General features: G+C 46.0%; 1 protein-coding gene across 1 annotated transcript in view, besides 5 other annotated features; it reads left to right on the forward strand.

Moving 5' to 3' along the window:
* The window catches only part of TRIM71 (tripartite motif containing 71), a 79828-nt gene that overhangs the window by 25069 nt on the left and 37569 nt on the right, over positions 1–17190 (forward strand). The window lies entirely within an intron of this gene.
* Positions 601–1196: an enhancer, noted in NCBI's record as "OCT4-NANOG-H3K27ac hESC enhancer chr3:32885158-32885753 (GRCh37/hg19 assembly coordinates)". NCBI's record gives its function as "activates a minimal SCP1, AML or CMV promoter by ChIP-STARR-seq in naive H9 embryonic stem cells {active_cell/tissue: H9 hESC(naive)}" and the evidence as "EXISTENCE:reporter gene assay evidence [ECO:0000049][PMID:30033119]".
* Positions 4240–4820: an enhancer, noted in NCBI's record as "H3K4me1 hESC enhancer chr3:32888797-32889377 (GRCh37/hg19 assembly coordinates)". NCBI's record gives its function as "activates a minimal SCP1, AML or CMV promoter by ChIP-STARR-seq in primed H9 embryonic stem cells {active_cell/tissue: H9 hESC(primed)}" and the evidence as "EXISTENCE:reporter gene assay evidence [ECO:0000049][PMID:30033119]".
* Positions 4472–4766: a silencer, noted in NCBI's record as "tiled region #1778; K562 Repressive DNase unmatched - State 20:ReprD". NCBI's record gives its function as "represses a minimal TATA promoter and a strong SV40 promoter by Sharpr-MPRA in K562 cells {active_cell/tissue: K562}" and the evidence as "EXISTENCE:reporter gene assay evidence [ECO:0000049][PMID:27701403]".
* Positions 10750–11259: an enhancer, noted in NCBI's record as "H3K4me1 hESC enhancer chr3:32895307-32895816 (GRCh37/hg19 assembly coordinates)". NCBI's record gives its function as "activates a minimal SCP1, AML or CMV promoter by ChIP-STARR-seq in naive H9 embryonic stem cells {active_cell/tissue: H9 hESC(naive)}" and the evidence as "EXISTENCE:reporter gene assay evidence [ECO:0000049][PMID:30033119]".
* Positions 13288–13963: an enhancer, noted in NCBI's record as "H3K4me1 hESC enhancer chr3:32897845-32898520 (GRCh37/hg19 assembly coordinates)". NCBI's record gives its function as "activates a minimal SCP1, AML or CMV promoter by ChIP-STARR-seq in primed H9 embryonic stem cells {active_cell/tissue: H9 hESC(primed)}" and the evidence as "EXISTENCE:reporter gene assay evidence [ECO:0000049][PMID:30033119]".

Below are 17190 nucleotides of genomic sequence, written 5' to 3' on the forward strand. Positions count from 1 at the left end.
CCAGCTGGGTATAGGCCTGGAACATTGTGATTGGGCAAGGGCTTCCAGGGTGCTGGGACTAGGTTTGACTGAATTGGTCAAGTCATGCCTTTGTTGAGAAATACAAGAGGGGCAGGGCCTCACCCTCCAAGGGAGCCCTCTGCTTCCTGCTACTTTCACCCCCCAAGATCTGGCCTGCATGGTAGCAGGGGGTGGGAGAAATGTGAAGGTAATGGTAATTGAGGGTTGATCTTGATTTGCACCTCAGGACACTCCCCCCAACTCACCAGGATCCCTTTTCTCATCAACCAGAGTTCTAAGGCATAGCAGTAACTCCCCAGTAAGCTTATTTCTTGGTTTGCCCAGCTCTTGGGACAGGCTTACCCAGGGGCCTCGAAGTAAGGGATACTGGGATCTGTGAAAATGGAGTGGATGGCCCAGTTGTGCTTAGCACATTTAATCTTTATTAGTGGCAAAAGAGCTCTGGGAAGGAAATCTGGGCAGGCATCACCTCTCCTGCTAGCAGGTCCCCCTCCCTTTCCCTGCCAGCTAATCCCCGTGCCTCCCATTCTGCAGGGTTTTAATTAACTGTGTTTAATCTTCCCCGGGAAGCAGGCTTAATGCCCGCCTGCGTGCTTATCCCGTTACCCGCTGGGTTTTCTGTTCCAGCCCAGCCAAGGACAAGTAACATTCTGGAGGAGTCTTCGCCCAAGGGCCATTAGCTGAGGGAACCTCCCTGAGCTCCTTTCCTGTCGTGCTGCTTTCTGGGAAGGTGCAGAGCCGGCCCAGAAAGCAAACCAGGGTGTGGGCAAGGGTTAATCTGGGCCCTGCCCGCCCACCCTGCCTTTGTGGAGGAGCTCCATAAATCCTGCTGGATTTAATGTTATGCAAATAACTCCAGATAAACGCACTTTTTTCTGGTTAGAGTCTCAAGATGTTTTAATGTGAACTATAGAGAAAATAAGTGTCCTAAAAACTATGAGAGCCGAAGTATTTTACGGGGAAATTATCTGTAGTGACTGCCCACTATGTGCTTACCCATGCTTTCTCGCGTCGTCGTTATTTTGTGTGGTTGTGTAAATCAGCCCTTCCCTGGTTAACAATGACCTGGGAGTTGGTTAGCCCTGGGGCTCCCTACCCCATGGAGATTCTGATTCTCTAAAACTGGGGTGGGGCTCAAATTTGCATCTTTAACAAGTACCTCTGGGGATTCTAATGCTGGTGGCCCCTTTGAGAAACAGATTTAAATGTTGCCCTAGGAGGAAGAGGGGATTTTAGGTCACAACAGAGTTCTCAGCACACTGTTTTGTTTTGTGAATTGGCATTTTACCCAATTGTCAGTCATAACTTCACTTTTATTCCCTTTCCCTGAGACTGGGTCTCGGCCTGTCACTCAGGCTAGAGTGCAGTGGCGTGATCACAGCTCACCGGAGCCTCGGCCTCCCAGACTCAAGCAATCCTTCTGCCTCAGCCTCTGGCGTAGCTAGGAGTACAGGCACTCTCCACCATGCCTAGCTAACTTTAAAAAATTTTGTAGAGAGCGTCTCACCAGTGACCCACCGAGCCTGGCCAATCATAACTTTTCTATTTCATTTTAAATGATATCTCCTGAGTTGTAAATTGGTAGACCTGTATTATTATCAGATGCCCTGGTGGGTTTAAGCAGCCTGTGATAATAATGAAGCTTTAACTTAGCTGATGAAGTCGGTTAACCAACTTCAAGCCATAACAATTCCTAGAATATTGAATCAACCTTTAGCCATCCCCCTCCTCTGAGCCACCTTGAAAAGATAGCCAGTGGAGACATTGTATTTCTAAGAAGCCATTCCGTACTTCCAAAGTTCCCCAATTTTAATGACATTGGGATGGAAATTCAAATTAAGACAAGGTAATGAAGACTGAGTTTTTGGGCTGAATTTGAGCGAAACTCCCCAAAGTTGTTTCATGTGGGACTCTGCCTTCAACACAAACAAGGACAGCTAGAACTAGGTGAGGCTGTGCATCTGAGGGCCTTGCCAGGTCTTCCCTTCTGGTTTCACCTCTAGTTGGCATCTCTCTCTAAATGGAGCTGAACAGGAGCCACCTGGAGGCTTTCCAGGTACCTGTCTGGATTGTATAAAAACAGCTAATGCTGTGCTGTGGAGGGGAGTACAGTAATTTTCAGACAGAGCTGAAATGTTTGTGGCTGTGTCTCCCAGACCATGCCAGGGCTTCCATTTCACTCCCAGGGTTAATTGGGTGAAAATGTGGGAGACACATGGCTCAAACCCACAGAAAGCTTGCAAAGATGTAGGAATCCCCAGGAGCCAGGGCAAAAAGGATGAAAGAGAAGAAGGTGTTTAGTATATTCAGGAGTCCCCACTGTCCCTCATCTGGCTGAGCAGCTCCTGCCACCACACCATGAACAGTCTTGCTGCCACCTGGCTTGGCAGCCCTCCTTCCCTCTAGCGGGTTTGCAAGGAGTCTTCAGTTTGGGGGTTACTCTGGGGGTTACTCACAGGTACAAACCCTTTCTTTAACTCAGTGGTCACTAGGTAAATGAGATCATATGATATTATAAGCCAGTTGTATGTATTGTTAATGACAGTATGCCCTGTGAGAGAACAAAGGGCCTTGGGATCTTTCATGAGGTTACTGGGTCAAATTGCCATGCGACCTAGGCCAAGTTTGGATCTTTTTTTTTTTTTGAAACAGAGTCTCTCTGTCACCCAGGCTGGAGTGCAATGGAGTGATCTCAGCTCACTGCAACCTCTGCAACCTCCGCCTCCCGGGTTCAAGTGATTCTCCTGTCTCAGCCTCCCGAGTAGCTGGGATTACAGGCACCTGCCACCAAGCCTGGCTAATTTTTGTATTTTTAGTAGAGACAGGGTTTCGCCATGTTGGCCAGGCTGGTCTCGATCTCCTGACCTTAGGTGATCCACCTGGCAGTTTGCATCCTTTTTTAAAAAACGGAGTTGGAGACTATGGCTCACTAGCTTGTGCATTTATTTATTATGTTTTTGGATGGGAAACTAACTTGGTAAGCCACTTTTTTTTTTTTTTTTTTTTTGAGATGGAGTCTCGCTCTGTCGCCCAGGCTGGAGTGCAGTGGCGCGATCTTGGCTCGCTGCAAGCTCCGCCTCCCGGGTTCACAGGATTCTCCTGCCTCAGCCTCCTGAGTAGCTGGGACTACAGGCGCCTACCACCATGCCTGGCTAATTTTTTGTATTTTTAGTAGAGACAGGGTTTCACCGTGTTAGCCAGGATGGTCTCGATCTCCTGACCTTGTGATCCACACGCCTCAGCCTCCCAAAGTGCTGGGATTACAGGCGTGAGCCACTATGCCTGGCCACCACTTCTTATTTTTAAATTGGCATAATAACTGTATATGTTTAGGGGGTACAATGTGATGTTTGGTATATACATACATTGTGGAATGATTATATTAAGGTAATTAACTTAGATACTTATGTTTTTTGTAATGATAATGTTTAAAATATTTAAAATCTGTTCTCAATACATCATTAACAACTGTGGTCACCATGCTGTGCATTAGCTCTTGAAAACTTAAGTCTTCCTGTCTAACTGAAACTTTTAACCGACATCTCCCCTTGCCCCTCCCCTGCACCCACCCCTGTCCCCAGCCCCCCGCTCCAACCCCAGCCTCTGATATTCTACTCTCTACTTCTACTCTAGTTCTCTTCTCTCTACTTCTATGAGATTAGCTTTTTTAGATTCCATATATAAGTGACATCATGTGGTGTCTGTCTTTCTGTGCCTGGCTTGTTTCACTTAGCATAATAACCTCCAGTTTCATCCCAGTTGTTGCAAATGACAGGATTTCCTTCCTTTTAAAGGCTGAATAGTATTCACCCATGCATATATGGCACATTTTGCTGTCTTGTAAACAATGCTGCAGTGAATATGAGAGGACAGATAGCTCTTTGACATACTGATTTCAGTTATTTGGGGTATATATACCCAGAAGTGGGATTGCTGGATCATGTGGAAGTTCTGTTTTTGTTTTGTTTTGTTTGAGTTTCTGTCACCCAGGCTGGAGTGCAGTGGCACCATCTCTGCAACCTCCGCCTCCCAGGTTCAAGCGATTCTCCTGCCTTATGCTCTGGAGCAGCTTGGACTACAGGCTCTCGCCGCCAGGTCCAGCAATTTTTTTTTTTTTTTTTTTTTTTGAGACTGAGTTTTGCTCTTGTTGCCCAGGCTGGAGTGCAATGGCGCAATCTCAGCACACCGCAACCTCCGCGTCCCGGGTCCAAGTGATTCTCCTGCCTCCACCTCCCGAGTAGCTGGGATTACAGGCACGTGCCACCATGTCCCGCTAATTTTGTATTTTTAGTAGAGAGAGGTTTCTCCACGTTGGTCAGGCTGGTCTCAAACTCCCGACTTCAGGTGATCCGCCTGCCTTGGCCTCCCAAAGTGCCGGGATTACAGGTGTGAGCCACCGCACCCAGCCAGGGTAGTGCTGTTTTTAACTTTCTGAGGAACCTCTGTGCCCTTGGCTCCATAATGGCTGTACTAACTTTAAGGTTGTGCATTTTAAATGAGTTGATACAGGGAAGCATCCAGGCCAGTGCCTGACTTACTGTATCCTTACATTTGGCAAGTACACATTGACTATCTGTCTTGAGCTCAGCTTTGTGCTCAGTTAAATGCAGGCCTTTCCATATGTGACAAATGAATGTGCTGACAAGCAGAGATTCGCCTGGAGTTGGCCTCCTCCCACATTTGCCTCTGAGTCTTGGCTTAGCTGGCTCTCAATATGGGGCTGGTTTTTTGTTTTGTTTTGGGAGTGTAATGTTTTATATATTTATGGGCTCAACCAACTGTGGATTGAAAATATTAGAAATAAGGCAATAAAAATTTCAAATGCAGTATAGTTATTGACATAATATTTACATTGTACTAGATATTCATAACCAATCTAGAAATGATTTAAAGTATATGGGAGGATGTTCATGGGTTGTCTGCAAATACTACACCATTTATATAAGGAACTTGAGTATCCTTGGATTTTGGTATCCAAGGGGGTCCTGGACACGCAGTCTTCCACAGATAACGAGAGACGACTGTACTTTATACAAGCATGGCAAAGAGCCACTTAATACTGTGTGACCTCATGTGAGTTAATCTCTTTGCCTTAGATTTTTAATTTGTTAAATAGAAATGATAGGTAGATACTTATGCTATACTGTGCGCATGATGAAATGCACAGATCTGAATATATGGTGAGTTTTGACAGTTGTGCACCCCAGGGTAGTGTGCATTTCTTTCTGCCCTCTTAGTTCTACAGGTCAGAGGAATCCTGCCAAGGGAGTTTTGCAAGGTCTGGCCCATAAACTCTTATCTTGTCTGCAGAAGTCAGCTGGTCTTGTCACTTCTTTCCCTGATAACCACCCCTCTTCCCTGGAGGGGTGGGGGCCTGAATCATCAGGGCATGAAGCCGTTGTGGAAGGTTCCCTCCGAAGAAATAAGGGGATTGTCTTTGCTAATTCTCTGCTATCTCTTTATCTCATATTTCTTAATACTGTTTTCTTTTTATGGTTCTTTTTGGGAAACGAGGCTCAAAAATACCCCTAGTTTTGTCTATGATTAGGGTCCTGAGGTTATTTTTCCCTTGAGCCAGGCAGTTTTAAAATGCCTGATGCCTCTTCATTTTTGCCCTTTAAAACACCAGCCTTGGCCAGCTGAATGAAACCTGGGGCAGTGGCCAGGCTGTGGACCCAGTGGAGTCTGGGGATGGCGGGAATCACCTTGGTTAGCTGAGACTTGAGGTCACAGGACAACCAGAAAGCTGAGCTTTCATGTGGTAGTGTCATGGAGCAGTGGAAACTTGTGGATTTCAGAGCCCTGCCAGACACATCCCTAAGCCCCTAAACCCCAATCCCTCACCCCTATTCAATGAGTTCCCTGAAGCTCTGGGGGTCTAGGGTTGGAGAGAGGTTAAGATGATATTTAAATTTTTTCAAACACTCTTATTTTAGGAAATGGGAAAACATGGGATCCTGGCCCTGGGCAGTCAGGGGAGCCTTAAGCTGGGGGTACTAAGTGGACAGGGGACTTAAGGGCATGATAACTGCAAGTGAATTTAAAAAGCTGTTATGTTGGAAAATAAGCCCCTCAGTTTGGATGGATAAGGTCAGAAGGAACCCAGTCTTGTGGAGCTACTACTTGGTAGTTAAACATTGTTTCATGGTGAAGGTAGAGCGAGTTCATTTACCTGCCTTAGATTAGAAACGCTGGCACTGCAGTTTCCCCCAGGACTAATTTTTAAACAGTGTGGTTAGAGGAAGGATCTTGCATAGGGCCTGGAGTTTTTTTGGTTTTTTTTTTCTTTTGAGACAGAGCCTTGCTCTGTTACCCAGGCTGGAATGTAATGGTGCGATCTGAGCTCACTGCAACCTCGGCCTCCAGGCTTCAAGCAGTTCTCCTGCCTCAGCTTCCCCAGTAGCTGGGATTACAGGCGTGCACCACCACGTCCAGCTAATTTTTGTATTTTTAGTAGAGATGGGGTTTTGTCATGTTGGCTGGGCTGGTCTCGAACTCCTGGCCTCAAGTGATCCACCCGCCTCAGCCTCCCAAAGTGCTGGGATTTACAGGCGTGAGCCTGGCCTAGGGCCTGGAGTTCTAATCCTTATTTCTTAATTAAACTGTGGCTGTTTTACCAGGTAAACAAGCCTCCTTCCCCTTCCACTTTTTTTGTCCGGTGGGGTAAGAGTTGGGTGCATTGGCTATGGATTCTTAACTTTTTTGTCAAGAACCCCTTTAAGAATCTGACCTGTGTACTTTCTCTCCAGAAAGAACTGCACGCTCAAAATTTTGCACACTAATTGAGGGGTTGCCAGGCCCTGAGATTGTCACAAGTTGTGCACACAAATTGAAGGTAGCTCCTATCTAGCTCCTAAGATTGTGTGGCTCAAAGCGTTCTTGGGGTATGTCTTCAGTGTCTTTCAAAGCAAGATAGTCATCTGTTAATTATGTATTGCCAAAAATGAAACAAAACCCCACGCATCTGGATGGTTTCAGAATTTAGGCCCTGTGGCATGGAGGTTCGTTGTCTTCCAGTCTCCCTCCGTTCCGTGCCTCTTTTCCAAAGGCAGGTAGTGGGACAGAAAGGTGTTGAGGCATCTGAGTTTAAAATACTAATCCTGTGGCAAATCTAGGGTTTTCTATAGGAGGATGTGGTGGTTAGCGGGTGAAGTTTGCATTGCTAATTGGGAATACAGATTTTTTTTTGTGTGCAATTCTCTAAAAGCAAGCATTAGGGAGGGTGAAAAGCTAAGAGGAAATTGTTTCCCAAAGGATTTTTGCAAAAGGCATTTCCCTTCCCCCTCCTCTTGTGTTTGACCTATTTATGTACTTTCAGAGTGTTGATGTCATAGTATTTCAAAGGGATATTGTATGTCTTGACTGGTAACTGCTTTTAAATAGGCCCAAAATACTCCGTCCTCCATTAATGATCAGCATGGCTCCCTCCAGGAATGGAAATTGTCAGATTGTCATAGAATGTTTTAGTCATCCTGATGACTAGAGTCATTCTCTCTCCTGCTTAATTCTCGACCTTCTTTTGCAACCACTGGAACATAACAGCAAATAAAAATAACCTTTAAGGAAGACTAGCTTGTGTAGATGAACATTCTTTGAATTTTAAGCTGAAATACTGAGTGCAGGATGGAGAGAACGCTGCTAAGCAGGGTATCTTGACCGGCTTGTTAGTGAGGGTTTTGTAGGGGGGACCATTCGCTGCCCTATCCGCCTGTTTCTCTTGTGGGATTAATCATTTCCTTTTGACCTTGTGCTCTGCCCCTAACATGTTGCATTGATCAGATCCCGAAATCTCAAGTCATTCTCCACCCCCACCACCCACCTCATTCTAATGAGACATCCTGAGGTGCAGGTTGGGGAGGGGTTTAAATAGAAAAGGTGTTCTCTATCAAAATACACAAAATGAAAAACAAATTATTATTTTTCAAAACAAGCCTCTCCACTTTCCTGTTTTGTTTTCTTATGGTTCTGTCAAGCTTTTTAGAAAGCTCCGCTTTCTCACTGTGACTATGGAAATGTTACTGGTTCAGCTTACACATTTTAAAACCTTGTGTTTCTCGGGCTGTGGGGAAAAAAGTTTGTTCTTTTTGATAAGCCTTACGTCTCAATTTCCTCCTCACTCTCACTTTTTAGAAAATTTCTTAAGTAGATGGTGAAATTTGAATTTCAGGCTACAATTAGTAAAAGAACTGAATACAGTTGGTAATAGAGTGGAATACAATGAACAAATGGCCAAGCCAATGAGGAGGATAAGGAGAATATGCAGAATTCACTGATTGGTATATTTCTCTCCTTAACTGAATCCACCCAGCTAAGTTCTTTGAAGACTTAGCGTTGTCCTCCTCACCTTTAATTAATGAAAGTGAACTGGCAAACTGGAAACTTTGTTTTTTGTTTTTGTTTTTGTTTTTTTTGAGACAGTCTTGCTCTGTCGCCAAGGCTGTAGTTACAGTGGTGTGATCTCAGCTCACTGCTACCGTCGCCTCCCAGGTTCAAGCGATTTTCCTGCCTCAGCCTCCCGAGTAGCTGGGATTACAAGTGCCCGCCACTACGCCTGGCTAATTGTTGTATTTTTAGTAGAGATGGGGCTTCACCATGTTGGCCAGGCTGGTCTCTAACTCCTAATCTCAGGTGGTCTGCCTGCCTTGGCCTCCCAAAGTGCTGGGTTTACAGGTTTGAGCCACCACGCCCTGCCTGAACTGGCAACTTTGAAAGGGTTGGGGCAGTTCTACTGTGTGACATTAATCTTGGGAAACTTAATTATTTCAAACTTAAATTTCAGGTGGCAAAACAGGTCTGAAGAGTATCAAAATTGCAAAAGAGAGAAAGGAAAGCTGATGTTATCACTTAGGCATAGCAACAGCTTTCTTTTGTGGGGTAGGCAGGAAAGGAATTTTCTGTTCACTTCCCACTTGGGAACAACTATTCAGGAGAGAGAAGTACCCAAAACCCTCTGGAGCGTGCCCGAGGGGTCCTGTGGGAACAAAGGCTCTATATTGGACCTGCTGCCAGCTTGGACCAGGCTGTTTTATGGTCGGTCCTCGGCCTTGGACCAAACTGGTCACAGATTCCCTGGGGGGTAGCCTTTTGGATTGTGGGGCCATGAATGAAATTGGGGACAGGGACAGTGTCACGGCCTAAACTGGAGCGCCGGAGGCACATCCTGGAGAAGGACATTGAGGGCTGTGTTCCTTTCTCTGACCAGAGGGAGGGTGGGGGTTGGGAGGCAGATAAATAGGTTTCTCCAGCTTCTCCATATGTCCACTACTGGGTTTATGCCTGAGGGTGTTGTGTAGAAATTTGAAGTATTGGGAAGCAAAACAGTGGTTCAAACAAATGCAGTGATAGGAGAGTGGGGCTCTCAGATGTGAGAACTTAGAAACGGACCCAAAGCAAGACAAGAGCATTTTGCCAGAGAGGTCTTCTTGTGCTAGGCTCATTTTAGGGAGCTATGGGAATGTGCTATTAAAGTCAGGCTTGTTAAACCCAGCAGGCATTTATTCTTGACCTGTAGGGGATAGGGAGCCATTGAGGGTTCTTGAGTTTGGAAGTAATGAAAAAAAGAAAGCAGCTGAATTTAGCAGTGGTTGATGGCACACAGGTAGAATTGCCTCTGCCTGAGGATTACAGAACTCTAACTGGGTAGAGGAAGGTTTATATTTGTATACTGTCTTTTAAAAAAAAAAAAAAACAAAAACAAACTTTATCTGGTATTTAGTATAAGCAATAATGAAACATGTAGCTTTGTCTTGGAAAATATTTTAGGAACACGAAGAGAATAGCAAAAGGTATTTGCAATTAAATTCTAAGTAGCTACACAAACACACCCCAGTTTGGTGTGAATAAAAAGTATGAAATTTTGTTCTGTGACATGCAAACACTTGACAGGGACCCCCTTACTATAGATTTGGTTACCAAGGAATACTTGTATCCATTTTTCTTCTTTTTCACAAATAGTAAATATATGTATACATTACTGTCTTCTGTATTTTTTCCATAATAATGTATCTTGGAGATTATTTCTCTCTCTCTCTCTCTTTTTTTTTTTTTTTTGAGACAGTCTCACTCTGTCACCCAGGCTGTACTGCAGTGGCACCATCTCAGCTCACTGCAACCTCCGCCTCCTGGGTTCAAGCGATTCTCCTGCCTCAGCCTCCCGAGTAGCTGGGATTACAGGTGCATGCCACCACACCCAGCTAATTTGTTTGTATTTTTAGTTGAGATGGGGTTTCACCATGTTGGCCAGGATGGTCTCGATCTCCTGACCTCGTGATCCGCCCACCTGAGCCTCCCAAAGTGCTGGGATTACAGGCATGAGCCACCACACCCGGCCAGAATATCTCATTCTTTTTAATGGTTGCCCTGGAATCAATTTATTTAACCATTATTAACTAGTACTCTATTAATGGACATTTAGTTTGCTTCCAGTCTCATGTGGTGCTATAAATCACCTATTTTTAAGGAAGTGCTTCATTCCTGCCTGGATGAACATCTAAAGATTGTCTTGTAGCTTGCAAGTGTTTTTACTAGAGAAGGGACACCCTTTTTCCTGAGGAGAAATGGAAGTTAAAAGTTTGTGCTGAGATAGCCCGTGGTAAGTTTGTCAAGTCTGGAGTTTGGTTTTGTCAAAAGTTTGTGGGAGGCCTGGTGCGGTGGCTCACGCCTGTGATCCCAGCACTTTGGGAGGCCAAGGCAGGCAGATCACTTGAGGCCAGGAGTTTAAGAGCAGTCTGACCAACAGAGTGAAACCCTATCTCGACTAAAAATACAAAAATTAGCCAGGCATGGCGTGTGCCTGTAGACCCAGCTACTCAGGAGGCTGAGGCAGGAGAATCATTTGAACTCAAGAGGCGGGGGTTGCAATGAGCTGAGACCACGCCACTGCACTCCAGCCTGGGTGACAGAGCGAGACTCCCATCTCAAAAAAAAAAAAAGGAAAGAAAAGTCTTGGTGTTGGCCCCTTTGGGCGATCTTGGCTCACAGCAACCTCTGCCTCCTGGGTTCAAGTAATTCTCATGCCTGAGCCTCCCAAGTATCTGGAATGACAGGCATGTGCCACCATGCCTGGCTAATTTTTTAAATTTTTTTGTAGAGACTCAGAGGTCTCACTATATTGACCAGGGTGGTCTCAAACTCCTTGACTCAAGTGGTCTGCTCATCTCGGCTTCCCAAAGTGCTGGGATTACACACGTAAGCCACTGCGTGCCTGGCCTACATTCCCATTTTAATAGTTTTGTTCTCTAGCACATTCTTAGAGATAGTTGTTTCTGGAGAGACACCTCATTCATGGACATATACATGTAAAGATGCTTCTGGACATTGCTTAGGCTGTTCAGGCTCTGAGAGGTTGTGACCAGCTCATGGAAACCTGAGTTTTCCTCTGGTTCTCTGTGGCTACCCACTTGACCAAGGCTCTGGAATGTAATCCATGAATGAGATTTTGATGGAATTAGCTGTGTGCAGAACTGGAAGGAACCTTAGTTTGAATATCGTCTTCATTCCCTAGGCCTTACTCAAGGAGGAAACAAGGCATCATCTGGCTAAATCTTTCTAGCCCTCAGCTCCAACTCCTCACAAAGTTGTTTTATGTTCTTTAATAGATGAGAATGGTGTTTTGATTATCATTTTCTGGCCACAGTTTGATGCTGATGGGATACAGTGCTAACCACCCACTTAAATAGAGCTATTGCATAAGCCGTTATTTCCTTCCTTCTGTTTGTTCAAATGGGTATTGAGCATCCATGTGCCAGACACTTAGATGCTTGGAATGAAGCAGTGAACAAGACGGAAAAGTCAGTTCCAGCCTTCGTTGTACAGTGATCTCCCTTACCCACGGTCAGCCACAGTTGGAAAAGAGGTGAGTGCAGCACACAGTATTTTGGGAGAGAGAGATACCACATTCATATAACACAGTATGTTGTTACACAATATATTGTTATAATTGTTCTATTTTAATATTGGTTGTTGTTACTCTTCTTACTGTGCCTAATTTATAAATTACATTTTATCATAAGTATATATGTATAGTGAAAAACATAGTATATATAGGGTTTGGTACTATCCGTGCTTTCAGGCATCCACTGGGGGTCTTGGACGTATCCCCCAAGGATAAGAGGGAACTACTGTACTTAAATTCAAATGAACGTGACTAGATACACATTTTCAGGGATTGAAAAGGGCTTTGAGGAAAGTTAAGTCGGGTAAGGGGGTGGAAGTGAGGGGTACCAGTGTTGTGTTTAGTAGTGGGGAAAGTGTCTAGGGAGGTAGGTATGGGGCCACTGTGGGGTGGGGGAGGGCATGGCTTTCAGGCAGAGGGAATAGCAGGGAGTCCAGGATGGCCCAGCCAAACGCTGTGGGCACAGTGACCCCCAGGAGTGAAGTGGGGGAGCCTCTGGAGGGTTTTAAAGAGGGGTGTGGCGTGATATGTCTCTGACCTGTCTCTAGCCCTCCTCTTTTGCTGCTACATGGGGAACACACTAGGGCAGGAAGGAGACAGATCCTCAGCCTGTCGGTTCTCTGGAAAGTATCTGGGAGAAGCAGTGTTCCCTAGAGGGACATGTCCCAGAATGAAGGTTCATCTTCAGGGATGGTGGTTTTGGGGAGCACAGCAGGAGGGAGACCCTGGCTGAGAGAGAGGAGGAAGGATCTCAGAGAGACCCCAGTATAAGCTGACATGTGGTTTAAGTGGTGAGGGAAGGGATGCCCTATGTGGTACACAGGGCTAATGAGCTGCTTCTGTACTGTTTATAAAACAACCCACAGTTCAGAGGGACAGCATACAGGAGAGATGCCCCAAGATGGGTAGCTGGCCTCTCCTACAGGCACCATCTGAGCAGAGCCTGGATTGGAGTTCATTGTTGGTGCTGACTTAGGCAGAGCTAGAAGGTACCTAGTTTTCTCTAATAGTTTTATTTATTTATTTATTTATTTATTTTTGCTTTTTTGTTTGTTTGAGACGGAGTCTCGCTCTGTCACTCAGGCTGGAGTGCAGTGGCGCAATCTGGGCTCACTGCAAGCTCCGCCTCCTGGGTTCACACCGTTCTCCTGCCTCAGCCTCCGGAGTAGCTGGGACTACAGGTGCCCGCCACCACGCCCGGCTATTTTTTTGTATTTTTAGTGGAGACGGGGTTTCACCATGTTAGCCAGGATGGTCTCGATCTCCTGACCTCGTGATCCGCCTGCCTCGGCCTCCCAAAGTGCTGGGATTACAGGCGTGAGCCACCGCACCTGGCCCTCTAATAGTTTTCTTTACCTGGAACTTTCACCGCTCCCCTGCCCCCCCATCCCTACTTGCACTTTAAGACTTGACTTCTCCTCCTCCAGGAAGTTCTCTGAGATTACATCTCAGCTGGCCTTATTCAGTTGTCCCTTCTTTTAGACTGATAACACTTTGAGGGCAAGGACATCATAGTGCCAAGCATGAGGCAATAAGGAAATGTACTGGATGTTAAAAATAGGACCTCTGTTGGTGGAAGGTGAAAGGGGTGAAAGGCTGTTTTGACTGGACATGAATAAGAGTGGAGTCACTGGCCTCCTGCAGAGGAATTTGGGACATGTAGGGTCAGAGGTCATCATTCAGCATGCTTTCTCCCAATCTTATTTATGAAATCTCTCAACGTTCTTTTCAACGAGCAAACAAAGTAACCTGGAGAACCCGGGGCAGGAGTGCCTTCTTGGCTCATTGTCAGTCCTGCCTTGCAAACACTGTGATTTAACTTGCCTTGCCACTTACCAGGCTGGAACCCTTACGGGCTCATGACCACGCCTTTTCTTTCTGGAACTGCCACGGACATTTTTGGGTTTCATGTACTCTCAGGATGAATTCTCCACCACCACCCCGAGAGGAAATGTAGTATCCCCATTTATGGGTGAAAACAGCTCAGTGAGCCAGCTTATCCAAAATTGCTGGAGAAGGACCACTCAACATTTGAACCCGGGTTTTCTGACTCCACAACACAAGTTGGCCCAAAGTTGTGTCCTGGCCTCCTTCCACGTGGCTGGAACAATCACTAACCTCTGGCCCCTCAAGGTCACCCAACTGCCATGTACACACTTCTCTTCAGGAGCTTTCCCTGGGTCCCCTGTTCCCTCTGTTTTACTTCGAATTCTTCCTCTGCACTTTGGTCAGGAATAGCATGCTTCTTTGCTCAAGCTGTTCCTTTTAACTGGCAGATTTGTAAATCTTCCACCTCAGTCCTCCTGGGTCTGTCCCATTCTCCCTGAGAAGCTATTTCTGATTTACCTGCTTAGCACAAGGGCATGCTACTGCAGTGTCTCCTAGGCAGTGGCTGAAGTTCTTCTTGGAGTCATTCTGTGCAAAATTTCTAGCCATTTTTAGCAAGCAATTTTTTTCTAACTGGCCTCATGTGCAATTAATTCACCCTTGAACAATGTGGGGGGTTAGGGGCGCTGACGCCCTGTACAGTCAAATTTGTGTGTAGACTCCCCAAAACCTATATAGTATGCTGTTGACTAGAATTCTTACAGATAATATAAAGTCAATTAATACATGTATTATGTATTATTTGTATGTTACATGTATTATGTGCTGCTATATTCTTCAATAAAGTAAGATAGAAAAAAATGTTACTAAGAAAATAATAATGGCCAGGTGCAGTGGCTCATGCCTGTAATCCCAGCACTTCAGGAGGCCGACGCAGGTGGATCACTTGAGGTCAGGAGTTCAAGACCAGCCTGGCCAACATGGCGAAACCGTGTCTGTACTAAAAACACAAAAATTAGCCGGGTGTGGTAGTGGGTGCCTGTGATCTCAGCTACTCTGGAGGCTGAGGCATGAGAATCGCTTGAACCCAGGAGGCGGAGGCTGCAGCAAGCCGAGATCGCACCACTGCACTCTAGCCTGGGTGATAGAGTGAGACTCAGTCTCGGGGTGAGGGGCGGGACACAAAAAGAAGAAGAAAACGTGTTTACTATTTAAGTGGAAGTAGATCATTATAAAGGTCTTCATCCTCCTTGTCTTTTGAGTAGGCTGAGGAGGAAGAGAGAGAGGAGGGTTTAGTCTTGCTGTCTTAGGGGTGGCAGAGGTAGAAGAAAATCTATGTATAAGTGGACCCTTGTGTTTCAAACCCGTGTTGTTCAAGGGTCAACTGTATTTTGGTTAGTTCCTCATTTGTCTTACTGATCCTCTCTAGCAGGGGTATATTTTCCAAATCAGGCCATGGGTGAGAGTGAAAGGGGTTCTGTTAACAGTTAAGCCTAGACATCGTGAGCAAACCTGCCCAGACTGACGGTCGAACAGCTCTGGGAATAGAAGCTTCTCAAGTTGTTTTTTCTTTCAAGGCTTTTAGCACAGTCTTAAATCCGATGTAAATAGTTTAAAAATTAGCAGTGAACACAGCACACTTGACTATGAGGCCAGGATACTGTGGCCTCATAGTCTCTGAGTCTGAGTACAGACCAACTTTAAGAGCTGTCTCTAAAACAGATGGAGTTGGAGGCCCAGGAGGAAGTTCTGGGAGAGCCGGGAGGCCCAGCTGAACAGCCTGAGCCTCCCTGGCCACCTCTTCTTGGGGAAGAGTTTTAGATGCAGTGGGATGAGTATTGTGGAAAGACTAAGGAAAGCCACGTAGGGCCTCAGAACAATTTGGGGGAAGGACAGAGCCAAATATTTAGGTTTCTTGTGCCATGTGTATCACCTTTTCCTGACTTTAAGTGATAGACAAAGTAAGGGTGACTTGTTCAGGGCCAGATGGAGCAAGACAGGAATTTCAGGACCCAAGTAAAGACTAATTTGAGGGCTTAGAAAAGTCTCCTGAAAACTTCGATTATGTAACTGAAACCACCTGATTGTTTCACCAGCTAAGAGCTTGTGAATTTTCTTTTTCCCACCATAGCAGGTCTGGCTTTTCCCATCTTTGTGAAGTTTACCCTTGTGTATCTGATGGGGTGGATGGTGAGGCTCTGCCCCTCACCACTTTTATAGGGCAGAAGTGTGGGGTTTCTCCTGGCTTCGTGACCTGCTCAGTCTGGGCAGTGGGTGCCTGTTTCCTGTTTCACAAGTTCTGTCGAACAGCACGCTTGAGCATCCAACAAGCTTCATTTGTTGGAATGAGGTAGGATTTCTGATTAACATTCATACCTGAGACTTGAAATTATTTTTCATTACCATCATTTGCAAAAAGAGGAAAAACATGATGAGTGGTACCGCGATTTTAGGGTTTTCTTTTTTCTTTTGGAGACAGTGTCTCGCTTTATTGCCTGGGTGGAGTGCAGTGGCGTGATGTCGGCTCACTGCAACCTTTGTCTCCTGGGTTCAAACGATTCTCCTGCCTCAGCCTCCCAAGAAGCTGGGATTACAGGCACACATCAACATGCCTGGCTAATTGTGTTTTTTTAGTAGAGATGGGGTTTCACCATTGGCCAGGCTGGTTCTTGAACTCCTGACTTCAGGTGATCCGCCTGCCTTGGCCTGCCAAAGTGTTGAGATTACAGGCGTGAGCCACTGTGCCTGGCCAACTTTGGGGTTCTGGAGAGGGGTTTGATTCCAGTGGTTTTGCATACAGTTTCCCCAAATGTTGGTCTTTCTTCTGATTGTATCTTATTACCATTTAGTTGACATTTCCCTGCCCGGAATGCCGCTGGCCTGGGTGCCTGGGTTCCCTGGCTTTCCAGGGGTCACTTCACTTGGTCTTTGCTTACATCCTGCTGTAATGACTGCTTCTTTGTAGTGGACTGTGCACACTGGTGGGAAGAGGGATGGGGAGCAGCCAAGGGACTGGGACTTTATTTCTGTCCTTAGTGAAGCCCAGTAACATGGTTCCTGGTTTGGCAGCTGAATTGATCTTTTTGCGGTGGGTGGGTTTATCCCCATGTGATTCCTGCATGGGCTGGGCCCTTCTTCCTCAGGTCATACCACCTAAGGAATCCAGCTTTCCTGCCACCCAGTTCTGTTCCCTGTTGGGCCAGTTTCTTCTGGTTTGCCTAGGCCCTTTGGCCCACCCTTTGTTGTGCTTTCTCTTTCTCCCTCCCCTCTCCTCCTGTTCTCTCCTCCCCTCTTCTCTCCCCTTCCCTCTCCTCTCCTCCCCTCCCCTCTTCCCTCCCCTCTCCCCTCCCCTCTCCTCCCCTTCCCTCTCTGATGGAATTTCACTCTTGTCAACCAGGCTGGAGTGCAATGGTGCGATCTCTGCTCACTGCAACCTCCACTTCCCGGGT

The sequence above is a fragment of the Homo sapiens genome, chromosome 3, assembly GCF_000001405.40.
Source record: "Homo sapiens chromosome 3, GRCh38.p14 Primary Assembly".
NCBI lineage: Eukaryota > Metazoa > Chordata > Mammalia > Primates > Hominidae > Homo > Homo sapiens.